The 20,277-nt window shown below is 43.7% G+C and overlaps 1 protein-coding gene across 21 annotated transcripts in view; it reads right to left on the bottom strand.

Moving 5' to 3' along the window:
• Positions 1-1,360: 1,360 nt before the first annotated feature.
• The window catches only part of VPS8 (VPS8 subunit of CORVET complex), a 240,449-nt gene continuing 221,532 nt past the window's right edge, over positions 1,361-20,277 (bottom strand). For 12 of the 21 annotated variants that reach the window (XM_047447824.1, XM_024453426.2, XM_047447823.1 and 9 more), the window contains 2 exons: positions 5,416-5,496; positions 1,361-2,099 (listed from right to left, as the gene is read on the bottom strand). In XM_047447824.1, coding sequence (XP_047303780.1) covers positions 1,950-2,099; positions 5,416-5,496 — 231 coding nt within the window. In that variant the 3' untranslated portion in view covers positions 1,361-1,949. The remainder of the gene's footprint in view (positions 2,100-5,415; positions 5,497-20,277) is intronic. The other 9 variants (NR_146113.2, NM_001349294.2, NM_001349292.2 and 6 more) reach the window with 1 other exon arrangement.

Genomic DNA, 20,277 nt, shown 5'->3' with positions numbered 1-20,277 from the left:
AAGTTCTGCTTTTACTTCACCCTTCCCACATACATTTCATGTTTTTGATGTCACAATTTGCTTTTTTATATTGAATACTCCTTTGCCTTAGTTCTTTACACTATAAAAGAAGAAAAGGAATAATTGAGTTTTGCTTTGAGAACATCAAGTTCCTTTGGCCTTATTTTAGGCTCAATGAGAAACCTTTTGATACATAACTTGGGGCAGGTAGCATCACTGGCTCTGGAATCACAACTCTGAATTCCACCTGCTCTGCTACCTCTTTGGTAGGTTACCTTGGTGAAATTACTTATCACCTCTGAGCCTCAGCTTTCTCATCTGTCAGCTGGGGTTGAGACTGTCATATAGCTGCGGCAGGCATCCAAGCAATGATGACTTAATGGTTCAACCACTTCCCTCAATTTTATCTCCTGACACCTTCATCAGGAAGCAGTACCCTTGTAGCCCAGGTCTTGGGAGAAGTTATATAATAAAAGCTAAGCTAGCATTTCTGGGGTATTTGCCATGTGCCTCAATGGCACATAGCAAATGTTTACATGTATTATTTCCTCTTCATAACAGTTCTGTTTATAAAGAAACAGAGGCTTAGAGAGGTTAACTGATTTGTTGATTATACGTAGTACATGGCAGAAACAAGATCTATTTTCTATTTAAGAGTTAAAAATTTCTATTGGCCAGGTGTGGTGGCTCATGCCTGTAATCCCAGCACTTTAGGAGGCCAAGGCAGGCGGATCACCTGAGATCAGGAATTCGAGACCAGCCTGGCCAACATGGTGAAACCCCATCTCTACCAAAAATTAAAAAATTAGCCGGGCGTGGTGGTGGGTGCCGGTAATCCCAGCTACTCGGGAAGCTGAGGCAAGAGAATCACTTGAACCTGGGAGACGGAGCTTGCAGTGAGCCAAGACAGCACCACTGCACTCCAGCCTGAGCAGCAAGAGTGAAACTCTGTCTCAAAAAAAAAAAAATTTCTACCTAGTTTATGTATCTATTTCCTGTGGGTTTGGTTAGTATCAGTCCATGAGAGCCTGACGATTCCATTGCACTGAGAAAAGGATCATCTGAGTATGTAAGGTGGAAACCTAGGTGTCTGGGTGTGGCGACCTCCTGTGGCAGTTGGTTCAATGATATACGAAGTCCCATGGCCAAAAACTGAGTACTATTCTCTTTGGCAGCCCAGCGCCTGTCACGGGAGCATATGGGTGGCTGGGCTGCTCTGAATACAGCTGACAATGGAGCTGCTTATCTGAATTAAGGAGGGTTGTCACAGGCAGGATTCCTGACTTTGAGCTAATAAAATTGTGACAACAGGGCTCGAAATGTCCTCCATGACTTGACAGACTGAGAGCCAGCCAGCCAGGAGACCTGCAGAACTTAAACACGGAGCATTTATTGTTAGAAAGGGCAAGTCTTACACTCAAATAGGTTTTAACATGAACACATTAAAGGGAGATGGCCCTGGCCCCCACAGTGTCTGCTCTCTCCAAGGCATGCTTCAGTTATACTGCAGCCTGGCCAACCACTGTTCCCTGTAGAAGTTGAAGTTCCTCTGTATTATCCAGCAGCTGGAGGAGACGGAGTATGGCAGACTCTGGAATGCCATTTGTGTGAGTTCCACCTACTTTCTAGGCTTCAGGGTAAATGGAAAAAGTCGCAATAGGCGAAATGTATTTCCTAAAAAGCTGGACAGAGGTATGTGACATTCCTTTGCTTAACAAGCAAAACAAAATCAATGAGTCTGGTGAACTGACGCCATGACAGCAATGTGGAGAAGACTGGGAGTCTACACTGGGAATGGTGCTGTGGACGCTCTGGGCACAGAAGCCCAATTTGGAACCTCTTCTCAGAAGCGTGGGAGGTGGTGGAGGCCAAGCCCACCAGAGGCGGGGCCTCTCCCCAGCTGCCTCGGGATCATCTCTGGTTCTCCTGGGCCAGGCTCCATGGAGTCATCAATCCTCAGTCACAGGTGGAGGAATGAGCTGCAGCTGGAAGTTCTCATTCTGGAAGATGCTGTTGAAAGCAGGAGCACTCTGCGAGCCACTGAATGGCCTATAGCTCTCGCTGCTGCGATTCTGGGAGAGTTCCGTGAGGAGAGCCAGCTGCAAAGGAAGGACACACATCAGCTAAGGTTTGTGGGGAGCAGAGGGAAGAGAGGCTCCTGAATCCACTGCTTCAGATACATGAGAGACAGTGCTGTGTTGCAGGAGTAGTAACATGCAGGGTTTGAATCTTAGGTCCATATATCACAAACGAGCAGTGTGACTTTGGGCAAGTTCACTTCATTTTTTAGGGTCTAAATTTCCTCATTCAATAATGAGACTGGACTGGTTTGCTCCCAAGGGCACTCAAACTGTGCTCTCTCTGGCACTGGAGAGCTCTCCCACCCTGGGCTGGCCCTGTGCTGAGGGCTCCTCCAGCTGCTGTGGATGGCCCTGCTGCCACCCTTCTCTCCCTGTGGACGCGCCCTGGGCTGAGGAGCTCTGTTCTCAGCTCTGCTTGTTCCAACCTCTCCATCTTGGTGCACTCTCCTCGGGGTGAATGACTAATTATGACCACTGGCTCTGACCTCTCTTCTGTAACCTGGAAGGCCTCAAACAGACACCCAGCTGCCAACTCAAACTCAGGGGTTCCAGAGTGGAACCCCTGGATTCTACCTTCTCCTTCAAGTGAGTCCTCTTTGCTCCCAGCTTCCTTATTCCCACCAATGACACTAGCAGTACCCTCGTTCTGTCAGTGGCTCAATTCTGGAAGACCTGCCAAGGAGGACAGAAGGGTAGGAGGAGATGCTAATGTCGGCCTGTTGGGAAGCCAGTGCTCTGCCACTCAGGGGGACCATCCCTTTCACCTAAAGAGGCTTTCTGCGAAAGTAGGGAGCTGGCAGCCTGGCTCTTGAGGTGCCCTTGATGGTCAGAGGAGAGACGAATTCTACACCCAAGGTCCTTAGACTTCCTGCCTGATTAGGGTCTTTGCCTGTTGCTTCCCAGAACATTGTGAGTTAACTTCCACCCCACAGAGCTAATGTGAAGGAGAACTCAGAGCCCAGGTCAAAATGGTCCCTAATAACAGTAGTTGGGACCTGTGGGATGGGCCACTGTGTCCACTACCAACACTCTAAGGGACCCTGTGTAGGCTCACATGGAGGCCAGTGAAAGCCTGGTCCATGGGGAGTGTACAGCTGAGACGAGGGGGCCATCAGACTCCTCAGGGCAGCCCTGTCTGTGTCTACCAAACACTCCAGGAGTCCGAGGGGATGTCTAACAACCTCTGGTGACTGTATCAAGTGTCTTTCCATGACAGGCACTTTGCTAGATCCTTGACATGTGTGTTATTTCTCATCCTTCACAACACAGTGACTTGCCCTCGGTCACCAGCAGTGAGTGGCGGTGTGGGATTCACCCGCCAGGCACCATGTCTTCGAGGTGCCCTCCGACCTCTGGCAAAGGGTTTTTCCCTCACACAGGCAATGGTGGCACAAGCTCACGTGTCCATGTGTCACTTCTGTGGAAAACTCAGTACCAGTGGCTGTGGTAACTGGGAAGACATCTGAAGGCCCCTAAGTTCTAAGTGTCAATTTATCAAAAGTGGTCCAGGTCCTGGCCCAGAGACACATGTATGGTCTCATTCACAACTCAGTAACTCTGACTCAAGCACTACTCCAGGGGCCAAGAGTCCACTTCGTGCCACTTCCTTCTTCCGTAACCCTCTCAGTTGCCCATCAGCCTGCGACGTTCTCTGCAATGACTGTTATGTACGATGCCTTGAACAGAATGAGCCACAGACGCTCAACTCAATGCTTTCACATCCTGACACTGTGAGGTGGGAAGATCAATTGCAAAAAAAAAAAAAAAAAATTATTTCCCAGGAAAACAGATATTTTTGTGTTCCACTTTGGTAACTTTGTGATCCGGAAATCAATGAGCCTTAAATAAGGGCTCAACAGTTTGAAGCAGAAGAACCTCCTTGGAAGGCCCAGAAACCCAACTCCTGGGGCAGAGCTTAGCTGAGGCTGGAAAGGGATGGGGGTGAGGCCAGTTCAATAAAGCTGCTGGACTGCATCCAGGAGACCCCTAGAGAAACTTCCTGGAATAACAACCTCTGCCCACACCAACTCTCAAAGAAGGAGCACCACTCTTTCCTCCGGCTGCCAAGTAACCTAGTAGGTTCTGCCTAAGAAAGGGGAGTGCGTGAAGGGGGCCCAGGTAGAGAAGCAGAGGACACAGCAGTTTGCACAAGCTCGAGACAAGCTCAGGAACAAATGGGACCACCTAGAATTGAGGTGTGATTTGGGGAGTGAAGAAGATGGTAGGGTTTGGACTCATTCTTTAGGTGGTGGAGATCCAGAATGTGTTATAAGCAAGGGAGTAACATGACATACTTGGTTTTAGAAAGGGTAGCCAGGCAGCAGCATGGAGAGGGGACAGAAGGGTTTCTAGCCAATCAGAAGACCTGCAGTGGCCTCCGTGAGTGATAAGGAGGCCCCACCCGGGGTAGTGGTAAAAGAGGGATTAGTAGACAAGATCCCACAGGATGTCCCCAGTCAGGTGGCAGGAAGGTGAGGAGTGAGCCTAGTGCTGCCAGGTCTCTGCTCTAGGTGGTTGGATGACAGAGGTATCATTCCTGAGGCAGGCACCAGGCATGAAGAACAGGTCGAGAAAGCGATGAGTACATGTCCAAAGTGCCTGGGGGACACCCGGTCTGATGTGGTGGCAGTGACTGATAGAAGCCCTCCAGTCTGTACTCTTCTTCCACAGTTAGATTAGACCAAGAATTGTAGCCCAAGGTCTTTTGGAATAAAAATCAATTTTCCCAGTCTCCATTGCAGTGAGGTATGGTCATGGGTCTAAATTCTAGACAGTGGAGGTAAGTGGAAGCAACCATGTTGAACCATACGAGTTTAAGTCATGTGCTAAGGAAGGCAGAGCAACAGGACAGAAGAAAGCTGAAGGGAGGTACGTGGATGTGCCCTGGCTGGCTGCATTTACACTTCTCTCTTGCTTAAACCACTACTACTTTGCATTTGTCTTTCATGGCCAAAACTAATTCAACCAGTGCAGATGCCCAGGAGGGTCTAGGGCTTCGGACAGATTGGGCACCTATCCATATCCTAAGCAAAGCCCTCCTGGGATCAACCTTCTGGCCTGCTCTCTCTGGAGGGAGGTCAAACACAGAGGCCCTTCTGTGTCCTCACAGCTCATGGTACGTAGGGGACAGACAGCTTTCTACTTCCTTTGCTCTCTTTGCCAAGCTCTGAGTGCTCCTTGGGGCCAGGGTCTGTTGTCCATGTAGCCATAACAGGGATGCCAGGGCACCTTCCAGGCTAGAAGGAGGCTAGAGGGAGGTTCCAAGACACTGCCTGTCTAAAGCAGTAAACTATAAATAGGGAAATAAAAATATAAACAACCACGCAAACATTACCCTGGAGCTTCCTCGGTAGAGACGGCAAAGCTGATCAAATGCTTGGATTTGCTGTGGATCCAGAACAGGTTCTGAGGTTCCCTGAAAAATAAAAACCGATACGATTAACAACATCACGTGGCTAGGCAGCCTCTCAACTTGCTCTACACGATGCTGAAGCATAACATGGTGCTTCCTTCATTCTCCTGAAAACAATCCATGCTACCAGCTATTAGTGAGATATATACTGAACATGAGTTAGAAATCGGCACGTCCCCTAAGATCCCTCCTTGGTGTGGCTGCAGGTTGACCTGTCTGTGGACCCTTTTCCCAATGGAGTCTCCAAATGTCCCGTATGTATAGGTTCCTTTCAGGTTTCTTGATCCCTCTTTGGCACCATTATGCAGAGCTAGTTAGTTCCTTCCAGCCTTGCATTCCCATGTCCATCACTTCATACGGCCAGCAAAGATACCGCTTTTCTCTGTCATGGTAACAGGAGACGCACTGTCATTTAAAAATCTCATCCCTGTCTCATTATAAAGCTGGTCGCCACCTATGGGGTTGCAAGATTCGTCTGCTGCTTTTGGGAAAAGGGCCGGTCTAGCCTGCTCTTACAGCAGCCATGTTTTGTTCCACCTGTTATTGTGGTGGGACCTGCCAAACTGCGGTTCTTCTCTCAGTGGACCTGATCCAGCTCATATGCAGAGAGAAGAAATGGGATCCTGGGGGAGGCGGCCATAAGCTTTGGAGTCAGAGGAGAATCTGGATACTAGTTCTGACAGTAACCTGCTATGTAACTTTAGGCAAGTCACCTCACTTCTCTAAGCCTCAATTGCCTCACCTGTGGGAAGGAAGGGGTAATGCTTACCTTTTGAGATTACCAAAAATTAAATGAGATATATATTTAAAGTGTCGCCTGCCTAGTACCAGGCGAGGGCTCAGTATACGCTAGCTTTTCTTACAATTCAGAGATACCCATAGTTAAAAGTTGATTTCAGAAGTGTTTTTGTTTATGTATAAGATTGGTAAAAGGACGTTTTTCTTTGCCCTATATCATGAACCTGTCCCAAGCGTCTGCACTGCACAGGTTGGTGGGTAAGAGCCTGCACTGCAGAGTTCATCAGCCTAAGCCCAAACCCTGGCTTTAGCAATTACTAGCAGCATAATCTTAGGCAAGTTCTCCGAGTTGGGTACTTTTTGCTTGTTTGTTTGTTTTTGCTCACATGGGGATAATGACTATAGCTACATCACATAAAGTGGCTATGAAGATTCAAGAAGGTAATGCACACAGAACACGTAGCAGATGCACGGGACTCTGCAAGTTCTCACTGAGCGCTACTAACTAGAGAGCACAGGAAGGCCCGCAGGTACTGCGCACAGAGCCAGTCTCCAAGAAGCAACATCATGTGGCCCTCGTCCTGATGTGGCTACAGAAACAGAAAGGAAGGGGACATCAGAGCAACGTGCACAGGCAAAACTGGGTAATGAAGGAGGTTGGGGGATGTGCAGGAGAGGGTATGCCGAGTGTGAGAGGGAAAACTTTATGGAAATGAGAGCTGCTAAGGTCAGCTCCCTCTGTCTTGCTCACCAGTGCCCAGTACTGTGCTTGCACAGAGCAGCCACAGAGTCATCATCTGCTGATCAAATGAAGGGATGGGAGGGCCGGCATGCAGATTTCTGATTTCTTACTATTTATCACTGGCGTTGTGACCAACCCTCGCCATGCAGTAAGAACACAGGGCAGGGCTCTGACACACTTGGGCTCAATCTGGACTCTGCCCAAGACTAGGTGAGTGGCTCTGGGCAAGGAATTTAGCTTCTCTCAGTCTCAGTTTCTTTATCTGTAAAACTCTACTTTGCAGAATTGTTATGAAAATTAGACATAATGTATGGGCTTGGCATCTATTTGATGTTCAATCAATGGCAGTAATTACTGCGATTGTGTTGTTTATACTCCCAGAGAGAAGTGTCCCCCTAGAAAGAACAATGGGATGAAATCAGGAAACATGGGCTCCAATCCTGTTACCAGCTCCCTGTATAACCTGAGGAGGTCACATCTCTCCTCTGAGTCTTTGTTCCAATTGATCAAAGGGCAATGCCACCTCAGGCCACACTCCACCATCCAGGGAAGAGGTGGGCACCATGAGATTAACAGGCATTTAGGGCATGAAAGTTTCAAGAAAAACAGTAATGTTTACTGAGCCTAATCATGGCTTTTATCTTTTACTGCATATTCAGAAGCAAATTAGGGGCAATGTCACAAAGATACATGGCAGCCCTGAAGATAAGTAACAGTTTCCGTCTACAGATGCCAAATTAAGGTCAGACAAAAAATAAAGGGGAAGCAACCAAATATGAACATAATCTCTGTTCACTCCAAAAACATAAAAGTATTCTCAGACCACTAAACCTCCCCAAGGATAAAACTGGTTAGGAGTGATTTTCCAACTGGAAGAGAAGGAAAAATGCATTTGCTGCTGTCTGTTAGAGCAAATTTCTTTCTTCCCATGTAACAAAGTCCAGTGTTAAGAGCTAAAAATTAAACTGTAGTGAATACGAGAGGAAGAAACAGTGGCAACCCTGGAAATGACCTTGTAGTACTCAGCATTAAAGGAAATCCTGTGGAAAACGAGGTCCTGATGATCTCTGAGAGCCCCAGGGAGAGGGGTGTTGGGCTAACATGGGGTGCCAGCACATTGCAAAGCTCAGTGACTCACAGATGTGGAAGTGGGAGCAGTAACTACATCCGCTGGAAGGAAGAAAACAAATCAGGGCTTTCAGGATCCACAGACCTCTTTTTTTTTTTTTTTTTTTTAGACGGAGTCTTGCTCTGTCACCCAGGCTGGAGTGCAGTGGCGTGATCTCAGCTCACTGAAACCTCAGCGTCCCAGGTTCAAGCAATTCTACTACCTCAGCTGAGTAGGAGAGATTATAGGCATGTACCACCATGCTCGGCTAGTTTTTGTGTTTTTAGTAGAGATGGGGTTTCACCATGTTGGTCAGGCTGGTCTTGAATTCCTGACCTCAGGTGGTCCACCTGCCTCGGCCTCCCAAAGTGCTGGGATTACAGGCATGAGTCACCGTGCCCGGTCACAGACCTCTTAACAAACATATCAAGCTCTGATATAGGAAAACAACCATGATCCACTGCCACCCTACAGGGCAAGTTCTCAAGAACAGGGATGGTACTACTCCTAGGGATACTGGACACGAAGCCTTCCAAATCATACTTGAAGACACGGACAGTCACAGAAGCCTGAGCTCGGCTTGTTCGTTTCTTACTCTCTACAATTACTAAGATCCTGAAATCAAAACCCTAACACTTCCTTTCCTAATTATCTTTCTACACTAACACATGAGAAGATCAAACCTAGTTTGCGAGAGACACGGGCCACTTTGTATTGACACTGGTGGCAATGAAGGTGGAGATGGAGTAGGACGAGTGGACTGAGAAGCATATTTCCACCTTTTCTCCCTGCCTGCCCTCCACCTCACTTTCAAATCTTTCCTTGTATCTCTTATAGCCTCAGCCAGTCTTTTGCCACCACCTAAGCTGTTTCACACTGGAGGTCCTTAATAGTTAAAAGTTTTGCCTAAATCAAAGTTTGGCTTCAGAGATAAAGGAAAAGCCACACACCTCCTTCCCCTCTGCAACCAGGAAATACCTTTTCTAAATTCCCATCCACAACACAGTTTGCTCTCAGATTGAACCTGACTCTTCATAGACCCTCATTCTCCAATGCCTCAAAACTCTCAGTAGGTCCCAGCTAATAATGAATTAGGTAATGAAATACTACAACAGGCAGACAAGTTGCTAAGCTGCCTAGAGAGAGGAGGGGAAAATGTGGCAGAAAGTCTCTGCAGGAGATTCATTTAGAGTAGTAGTCATGACCCTAGAATGAGCAGTTCTAAGGGAGGCGAGTGCTTGAGGCCACAGAGACAGACTGAAAGGCTCAGTGAAAAATAACCTTAAAAACCCAAGCCCTTCGATACCACAATTAAAAAGAAACAACATGGTGACCGTTCACAGCACAGGGGAAAAACACTGGTTTACGTTTTCTCAGATGCGACAACCCTCCCTCCCCTGCTGCAGCGGCTCACTTTATCGATCGTGTAATAACCATGTGCCAGTCACTGTTACAGGTACTTAGCATGGATCATCTCATTTAATGATCTCAAAAACCCTACGAGGTAGGTACTTTTCTTATTGTTATTTTACAGGTGAAGAAACTCAGGTCCTGGGATTCAGTGATATGCCAAGGTCACTCTGGTTGGTGGTGGAGCCCAGATCTGAATTGGGACAGTCCAGTTCCAGAGATGCCTTTCGTCTGCCATTCTCTCGGCAGCAGTCTGGAAGAAGCCTGACGAAAGTCACTTTCTTTCTTTTTTTGAGACGGAGTTTCACTCTTGTTGCCCAGGCTGGAGTGCAGTGGCACGATATCAGCTCACTGCAACCTCTGCCTCCTGGGTTCAAGTGATTCTCCTGTCTCAGCCTCCCAAGTAGCTGGGATTACAGATGCATGCCACCATGCCCAGCTAATTTTTGTATTTTTAGTAGAGACGGGGTTTCATCATATTAGTCAGGCTGGTCTTGAACTCCTGACCTCTGGTGATCCGCCTGCCTCGGCCTTCCAAAGTGCTGGGATTATAGGTGTGAGCCACTGTGCCCAGCCGAAAGTCACTTTCAAGGGACCCAAAAGGTTGTGTGAGGAGCAGTGTAGGACTTGCCTGGGTCAATTTGCCTAATCAAGCTCCTGTGAAACTGACGGACACCTGCCCTCCTTCTGGGGATCCTTCATGATTCTGCTTTAATTTCAAAACTCATCCCATCATTCTATAAAGTATAAACAAAAGACCCATGAGAGAGAACGAGAGAGCAGCTAATGGAAATAAATATAGCTACTAGTGTTCTGCTTAAAAATGACTTTGGAAGCCTAGACCAAAGCCCAGTGTTAAGAACTAAGCTTCATTCTGCAGTGAGACATTTCACATACAATGTCATGACAGTTTTGGGTACACACTAGGCGTTCACGAATGCCTTCTGCCATCACAGAAAAAAGTCTGAACTTGGCTCTGACACTAATTAGTTGTGTTGATATCCCTCATATCAGTTGTCTCAACTACAAACAGGGAAATCTCTGCACAGCCTACCTTACAAGGCTCTTTCTTGTGAGGGAAGGGCTGGGAAGGGAAATGGAGAAAGCTCATTTCCTGTTGTCCATTAGTCTCTGGCCTTCTGCTAGCTGCGTTTGTGTTTAATGTATACATTAGCCCAATGAAGGAGAAATTATTTTCTCTAATTTACCTGTGAGGAAACTGAAGTTTAGACATATTAAAATACAGCTTGTAAGAGACAGGGTAACTCTTGATAACAGGTCTAACCCTAAAGCCCACTATGACATGTTAGTGACAAACATAAGGTGCTCTGAATGTATACGGTTTCATGGGCTGCTCGCGGACACCCTGGGTTGCCTGGTCTGTGTCTGTAGGGGCTGATGCTACATCTGCCCGAGTGCCTACCGGGATCCTGTGTGGTGCCATCATAAGGTTAGCACTAGGTGAAGGCTGTGTCATTAGATGAGGGAACCTAAGTATCTTCTGTTTGGTGTTGGTCACCTGTTTTTGCTCCCTCACAAAAGAAAATGTCCCCCAATTGGTTTAAAGTCTTTGAAACCCACATACTGTTCCCACACAGGATTGGTATTCCTTGCCCAACCTGCTTTGAAAGGCAACAGCTTGGGGGAAAATCTGTGGTGACAAAAGCTGATCATCTCATTATATATTTTTTTAAAAATGGATTAAAAAATGTAGAATACAGTTTGAATTTTTAGAGAACGAATGTAGCTCCTTGGTCAAATTCATGAGAGGCTTCCTGTTTTCTTGACAGGGTTGGAAAGGGGTGGCCATCTCAGTGTATCTACTTCACAGGCAGGGGAAGCTCAAATTCCCAAACATTAAAAAATCACTGCCGGATGCTGCCACCCACAATGTAACGGAGGTATTTTCCTGAGTCATCATTATCCTGAGATGCCAGGACAGAGAGCAGGACCATTACAAACGGGGACACTGATGGATGACAGTGAGACTGACCCCCTTCCAGGGGCCACTCTCCTGTGCAAACCTGGAGTCTTGCCACGTGGCATACTGTGGCCATTCCATAATTACGTTTTCCTTTTGTCAGTACAGGAAGATCTTAAAAAAATCCAGAAAGATTTATTGTTACAGGGCATGTACTAGGGAAAGGGATACTCCGGGGATCTGCCCTAGCAGAACTTCAAAATAAGCCTCAAAAATACGTGGCTGATTTAATAGTAATAGCTTGCCAGAAAAAAACCTCAAAAGTCTCTAAAGGAAGACAACACAATCCAGATGCTCAACAACACAGAGTAGGGGCTCTCTTTTAAGGAGGTGTTATGATGTCTGGAATAATACCCACCATCAGTTGATATTTCATGGAAAACCGGGGAGCAAAATTTCAATATTAGGATGGAAGAAATGTAAATTCTAACTAGAACACACCTAGGATATTTGTAGAAAACAACAAAACATAAAAGTCCCAAGGCTGTGACTTGTCAGCCCCAGCAGACTGCACCAAGCACCTGCCCATATTTCACATTCATCTCCTCCTCCTTCCCTTCTGCTTTAGCCAATGGAGAGTCCCACTGTTTCCCAAACATGCCCAATCCAATGTTTGATACTGTATGAAGAAGTGGGAGCTTTCAGGGCTGGCACAATTGATTTGAGACAGAGGTCCAGGCAGAAGGCTACGCTCTGCAGTGACAGAATGTCAGCCATCAGAAAACACCACACACATTAGAGCAGCACAATCTGCGAAGCTCTGTTCAAATTCCATGACCTTTACAAACGGGTGATAATTCAGCACAGCACAATTAAGAACGGCCTACTGAGTTCTTTTAATGCACAGTAACAGGCTGCTAGTGGCTCTGTCACACATACTGAAGAGAAAGAAGATAACTGCCATGTATTTTGGGAAGTGCCTAAAAGCTTCATCAGGAAACATGTTGGAGGGGAAAGGCCTATTTGTAACTCGATCAATAATCTCAACATCCAAGAAGACGGTAGCCGTGAGGCAACTCCTGTTTTGCTGAGGGAGTTCCCTTCCATAGAGGGCATAGGATAGTATAGAGAACTACTGGCACCGAGATGGTCTCACACACAGCCCCATAATAAGACACACATATGACAATCTGAGTGGGAACAGACAACTACTCAAGCTGAAGTGTCATATTAACAAGCGCAAAACCCACAGCCATTAGCTCTCAGTTGCATTAGCATGGGAGCTAATAAATGATGTTAGCTAAGTCTCTGATGATGAGCTGTAAGGCTCTATCCTTGGCTTTTTTTTTTTTCCTTTGAGATGGAGTTTCGCTCTTGTTGCCCAGGCTGGAGTGCAATGGCATGACCTCAGCTCACTGCAACCTCCGCCTCCCAGGTTCAAACAATTCTCCTGCCTCAGCCTCCCGAATAGCTGGGATTACAGATGCGTACCACCATGCCCAGCTAATTTTTTGTGTTTTTCAGTAGAGACAGGGATTCACCATGTTGGCCAGGCTAGTCTCGAACTCCTGACCTCAGGTATTCTGCCCGCCTTGGCCTCCCAAAGTGCTGGGATTACAGGCATGAGCCACCGCGCCTGGCCAACCTTGGCTTTTTTATATACAAATATTTTATCAATGGCTTAAAGGGAAAAGAGGCCTATCCTTGGGAGGAAAAAAATGATTCCCAAGGGTCAGAAACTGAAACAATATAAGCAATGCCTTGCACTTGGCTCCAGAAACCAAGGGTATGTGCATGAATAGCACATGTGAACAGAATCGGGAGTTTGATATCAGTATGTTAGCTGTGAATCAACCATGCAAAATGGCTGCTAAAAAAGTTTATGTGCTTTGGTTCCATTTACAGAAACAGAATGTAGAGTAAGGAAGATGATGATGTCATTTTGTTCTAAAATGACCTCACCTGAAGTACAATGGTAATACTCAAGGAGATGTGGTATGATAGGGTGGAGTAGATAGAGGAAATGGATTGTGGATGTTCTGCCTGGACAAGAGACCACCAAGGGCTGGAGATTCAGGACCTCAGCTACATGAAGGACTGGAAAGTCTGTTCTCTAACAGAAGGATTAAGCTATTTTTGGTAGGTCTTAGGGGAAGGACCAGGATCAATTGGCATCACCTACTACAAGGAAGAATTATCTTAGTTAGAGCTTCCAAAGATGGAATATCCTGCCTTAAGAAGGTGGTTTTCAAGCAGAGGCAGAACACTGCTTGTTAAAATGGATGAGGAGAGAGGCTTCTTCTAGCACAACAGCCTGAGGAGCTCTGCTATAGTGTGGATGTTGTTCCCTCCAACACTCGTGTTGAGATTGGAGCTCCAATGTTGGAGGGGCCTAATGGAGGTGTTTGTGCTATGGAGGTGGATCCCTCATGAATAGATTAGTGCCTTCCCTGAGGGTGGGAGGTGAGTGATTTGTCACTCTATTAGTTCCCATGAGAGGTGGTTGTTTAAAAGAGCCTGGTACTTCCCTCCCCTCCCTCTCCTGGTGCTCCTCTTGCCATGTTGAAACAATGCCCAAAGAGTTAAAAACAATCTACGACTAACAGAAATTCTTGAGTTTGCAAGATAGCAGATAAGGAACAATTTGCTAAAATGCTGAAACTTCCTCTGCTTGTGAGATTAAAAAACAGGTTGAAATTGGCTAGAAGCAACATGGCTGACTGGAGTTTGTGCAGAATGAGCTCGCTGATGTCACAGCCAGCCCAATTTCTACTGCATGTTTCATACTAATTCTTCCCAAATTTGCACATGAGACCCATGAGGTAGCATGCAGAGATAAACATGCATCCCTGAGGACTTTCCAGACCTTCTCTTTTCTTCTACTAATCACCTGCTAATCCCAGAATCTACCCCCTGAACCTTTTCTAATAAAATTACTGCCTTAAAGCCAGCATAGGGAGACAGATTTGAGCTGGACTCCTGTCTCCCTGTTAGTCAATTTATAATAAAAAGCATTTCTTTTCCAAAAAAAAAACCCCACAGTGTCATAGCGTTGGCTTCTAACGTATCAGGCTAGCAATGCCCCTTTTTCTTGGTAACAACGTGATCTCTGGACATGTTGGCTCCCCTTTGCCTTCTGCCTTGAGTGGAGGCAGCCTGAGGCTCCCACCGAAAGCAGATGCTGGTACGTGCTGCTTGTACAGACTGCAGAACCATGAGCAAAATAAACCTCTTTTCTTTATAAATTACCCAGCCGTGGGTATTCCTTTATAGCAATACAAGTGGATTAAGATAAACTCCAAATAAAAACTGGTGAAAACTATAAAACGAAAACTCCAAGTATTTAAAGACCAAATGAAGAAACTATCCTCCCTACACTATGAAATTTTGATGACTATGGTTTGTGAACTGACTGCTCCCTTCCCCACCTTCAGAACTCAGTAAGGTAGAACTCCACACTACTGCAACCAAGAACAGCAGGCTCTCTTTATCCCAAGATCACAGTTGGAAGGCTTTCTTCCCAGTAGGAGCAGGACATTGGTATTTTTCATCCTGCCATCCATGTTGCTGGGGCTAAGTCCTAGCTGAGCGCAGTCAAGAGGTAATGGGGGTTCCCTTCTTCTGGAAGCCTCTACTCATGGAATGGAAGCTCTACCCTGGAGGCTGTGCACTGAAAATCTTCGGTCTCTGATCACCCTTGCCCTGGATTATGAGTCCAGGAGAGGCAGTCCAGGGGGCTGCTTAGGCTCTCACCTGAGGCTGCTGCCCCTCCGTGCTTCCAACAGCATTCAACAACTAGACTGGGGGATGACATTCAGAGAAAAGCCTGCCATTGTCCCTATCCTCAGCTCCAGAGCCCCAGCTCAGAGATTTTTCCTTGGGAAAGAAGTAGGTTCTAAAATAAATAACTCCTAATCTTTTCCCAGAGGAACTGACTTCACTTGCAACTGAATATAGAGAATTTCAATCCTAAGTGTGTTCTTAAGAACAGTGGAGTTAGTGGTGAAATGCAACTGGGAAGAGACTTGTGGATTTAATGAAAATACAACCTAGACTACAGGCTGGCTACTTTGCAGAAGATAACTGAGGAAAAAGACAACTGCAGGAGACCTTGTGAGGTCAGAAGAAATATCAAAACTAGCTCCCAGAAACTATTACTTAAAAGAAACTGCAATTTGACTGGATTAGTTTATAAACAATTTATGTCCTAAGGCGTTAGTGGAAACAATAGAGCAATCATCAGGCAATTTGTAGAGCTTAACAGTGTGGTATGGTCAGAGAAAAACAAACAAACAACAACAAAACCAGAGCCCAGCCAATACCACTGTCATTCCAGGGTGACTGCAGACATACCCAAGGCTACGCCTACTTGAGAAACAATATCAGAAGCTTAATATTGTGGAGAAAAATAGACTTTACTAAATTCATCTAGCCAGTCACCAATAACAAGCCCTGGGGGTAGGGGGACCAGTACATAGGGTATACAATATATTTTTCTAAAATGTCCAGTTTCCATTAAAAAGTTATGAGGCATGCAAAGAAATAGGAAAGTATGATCAAACCCCAGGGAAAAAAGCAGGAAACAAACTTCCTGGAAGAGTAAACAGATGTCAGATTTAACAGAAAAAGATTTCAAAATAGTCACTGTAAATATCCTCACAGAACTAAAGGAAAGCATGGTTTACAAAGTAAAGGAAGGTATGATGACAATATAACATCAAATAGAGACAGTATCAATAAAGAGATACAAATTATAAAAAAGAATGATTGAAAATTCTGGAGTTGAAAACTACAACTGAAACAAATTCACAAGACAGGCTTAACAGGAGATTTGAGCCAGCAGAAGAATTGGTGACTTAAAGACAGTTCAATAGAGATCATGCAAGCTGAACAACAGAGAGAAAAAAGAATGAAGAAAAGTGAACACAGTCTCAGAGAAATGTGGAGTTATCATCAGCCCAATATATGCACAAAGAGAAGACCAGAAGAGGAGAGAAAGGAGAGTGAAAATATTTTAATACATTATGGCTAAAAATGTCCTACGTTCATTGAAAAACAATAACCTACACATTCAGGAAGCTTAACAAATTCTAAGTAGGATGAAAACAAAGAGATCCACAAACAGATACATCATAATAATATATCTGAAAGTACATAACAATGTAATGCCAAAAGTCAGTAACAATGTGAAAAACTTGAAAACAGCAAGAGAAAAATGACTAGTAATTTACAAAGAACCCCAATAAAACTAACAGCAGAAACAATGGAGGCCACATATTCAAAATGTTTGAAGAAAAAACTGCCCACTAAGATTTCTATATCCAGCAAAGCTAGCTTTCAAAAATGAAGGTGACATAAAAACTTTCCCAGATAAACAAAAACTGAGAGAATTTGTTGATAGGCAGACCTGACTTATAAGAACTACTAATGCAATTTCTTTGGCATGAAAGCAACTGACTATGGAGGGTAATTTAAATCCATGTTAAAAAAAAAAAAAGGAACTGCAAAAGATAAGTAAGAAATTATAAAATACAGTATAAATGCATATTTGCTTTTTTCTTTTAATAACTTATTTTAAAAAGCAGTCATATAAAATGTGTATAATAAAATGTTGGGCTTATAATATGTAGAAATGTAATATATGTGTAACATATTTGCACAAAGGAGGTGGGTGAAAACAAAGCTTTTACTAAGCTAAGGAAATGACTACAGATGGTAAAGTAAAAATTACAACAACCTATTGTTGCATCTGTAACATTACTAGATGCACTATATATAACAATATAACTATATATGCACTATATATTACTAGAGGTACTAAATATATTTTGTGGTATGTGCAATACCACAAAAGTGGGGGAAGGGAATAAAACTATATAGGAGTATATATATAAATGGTATTAAGCTACTTTAAATCAAAAGCTGAATATGAAAATCTAGGATGCATATGGTAAATCCTAGGCCACCACTAAAAAAAAAAACTGAAAAACTGTTAATCATTAAAGACTTCATCAAAAAGATATACAGCACCATTTATTAAATAGGGAGTCCTTTCCCCATTGCTTGTTTTTGTTGGCCTTGTCAAAGATCAGGTGGTTGTAGGTTTGAGGCTTTATTTCTGAGTTTTCTATTCTGTGCCATTGATCTATGTGTCTGTTTTGTAACAGTACCAAGCTGTTTTGGTTACTGTGGCTTTATAGTATAGTTTGAAGTCAGGTATGTGATGCCTCCAGCTTTGCTCTTTCTGCTTAGCATTGCTGTGGCTATTCATGGTCTTTTTTTGTTCTACATGAATTTTAGAATAGTTTTTTTCTAATTCTGTAAAGAATTATGTCGGTAGTTTGATAGGAATAGCACTGACTGTAAATTGCTTTGGGCAGCATGGCCATCTTTACAATCTTGATTCTTCCAATCCATGAGCATGGACTGTTTTTCCATGTATTTGTGTCATCTCCGATTTCTTTCAGCAATGTTTTGCAGTTCTCCTTGTAGAAGATATCTTGGTTAACTATCTTCCTAGGTATTTCATTTTGTTTTGTTTTGTTTTATGGCTATAGAAAGTGAGGATCTGTTCTTGATTTCATTCTCAGCCTGAACACTGCTGGTGTATAGAAATGCTACTGATTTTTGTACATTGACTTTGTATCCTGAAACTGTATTAAAGTCATTTATCAGTTCTAGGAGCCTCTGGCAGAGTCTTTAGGATATTCTAGGTATAGAATCATATTATCAATGAAGAAAGATAGTTTGACTACTTTGTTTCCTATTTGGATGCCTTTTATTTCTTTCTCTTGCCTGACTGCTCTGGCTAGGACTTCCAATACAGTGTTGAATAGGAGTGGTGAGAGTGGACATCCTTGTCTTGTTCCAGTTTTCAAAGGGAATGGTTCGAGCTTTTGGCTGTTCAGTATGATGTTAGCTGTGCATTTGTCAAAGATGGCTCTTATTATTTTGAGGTATGTTCCTTTGATGCCTAGTCTGTTGAGGGTTTTTATCATGAAGGGATGTTGGATTTCATTGAAAGACTTTTCTGCAAATATAGAGATGATCATATTGTTTTTGCTTTTGATTCTGTTTATGTGCTGAATCACATTTATTCATTTGCATATATTGAACCAATCTTGTATACCAGGAATAATGCCCAGCTGATTGTGGTGAGTTAACTTTTTGATGTACTGGTGGATTCGGTTTGCTGGTATTTTGTTGAGGATTTTTGCATCTATGTTTATCAGGGATATTGGCCTGAAGTTTTCTTTCTACATCGTGTCTCTGCCAGATTTTGGTATTAGGTTGATGCTGGCTTCATGGAATGAGTTGAGGAGGAGTCCTTCCTCAATATTTTGGAATACTTTCAGTAGGATTGATATCAGTTCTTCTTTTGGTAGAAAGAAGTATAATTCGATAGAATTTGGCTGTGACTCCATCTGGTCTAGTACTTTTTTTGGTTGGTGGGTTTTTTTATTACTGATTCATTTTAGAGCTTGATATTGGTTTATGCAGAGTTACAATCTATTCTGGATTCAATCTTAGGAGATTGTGTATGTTTCCAGGAATTTATCCATTTCCTCTAGAATTTCTAATTTGTGTGTATAGAGTTGTTCCTGATGTTCGGAAAGTCTTTTCTATTTCTGTGGGATCGGTTGTGGTGTCATCTTTGTCATTTCTGATTGTATTTATTTGGAGCTTCTGTTTTTTCTTTGTTAACCTAGCTAGTGGTTTATCAATCTAGTTTACTTTTCCAAAGAATCAAGTCTTGGTTTCATTCATTGACCCTTGGCAAATATTTTTTTGCTAAGTCTCCAAAAGCAATTGCAACAAATGCAAAAATAAACAAGTGGGACCTAATTAAACTAAAGAGCATCTGCACAGCAAAAAAAAGCAAAAGCAAAAACAAAAACAAAAGCAACAATACACACAGAACAACAACAACAACAACAACAACAACAACAACAAAACTATCAACGAAGCAAACAGACAATCTACAGAACAGGAGGAGATATTCTCAAACTATGCATCCAACAAAGACCTAATATCCAGACTCTATAGGGAGTTAAAACAATAAGCAAAAACCAAATAACAGAATTAAAAAATGAGCAAAGGTCATGAACAGACATTTCTCAAAAGAAGACATAAAAGTGGCCAATAAACATATGAAAAAATGCTCAGCATCACTAATCATCAGAGAAATGCAAATCAAAACCACAATGAAATACCATCTCACATCATCAGGATGGCTATTACTCACAATAGCAAGGACGTGTAATCAACCCAAATGTCCATCAATGGTAGACTGTATAAAGAAAATCTGGTACACATGGACTACTACACAGCTATAAAAAAGAAATCACATCCTTTGCAGTAACACAGATGAGCTAGTGGCCATAATCCTAAGCAAATTACACAGGAACAGAAAACAAAATACCACATGTTCTCACTTATAAGTGAGAGCTAAACATCGAGCACACATGGAGATAAATACGGGAACAACAGACACTGTGGAATACTAGAGGGTGGGGGGTACTATGCTCACTACCTGGGTGACAGGATTCACACACTAAACCTCAGCATCACTCAATATTCCCATGTAACAAATCTGCACATAAACACCCTGTATCTAAAATGAAATTTGAAAAAAGATATACAAATGGAAAATAAGCATATGAGTCAAAAGACACTCAACATCCTATATCATCAGGGAATTGTGAATTTAAGAAAATGAGATACCATTACATACCTATTAGAATGGCTAAAATTCAAAACACTGACACCACCACAACACCAAATGCTGGTGAGGATGTGGAGCAATAGGAACTCTCATTCATTGCTGCTGGGAATGTAAAATGGCACAGCCACTTTGGCAGATAG

This window comes from Homo sapiens, chromosome 3 (genome assembly GCF_000001405.40).
Source record: "Homo sapiens chromosome 3, GRCh38.p14 Primary Assembly".
Lineage (NCBI taxonomy): Eukaryota > Metazoa > Chordata > Mammalia > Primates > Hominidae > Homo > Homo sapiens.
The sequence above is the reverse complement of the archived record's forward strand: the minus strand, read 5'-3'. Positions and strand labels throughout refer to the sequence as shown.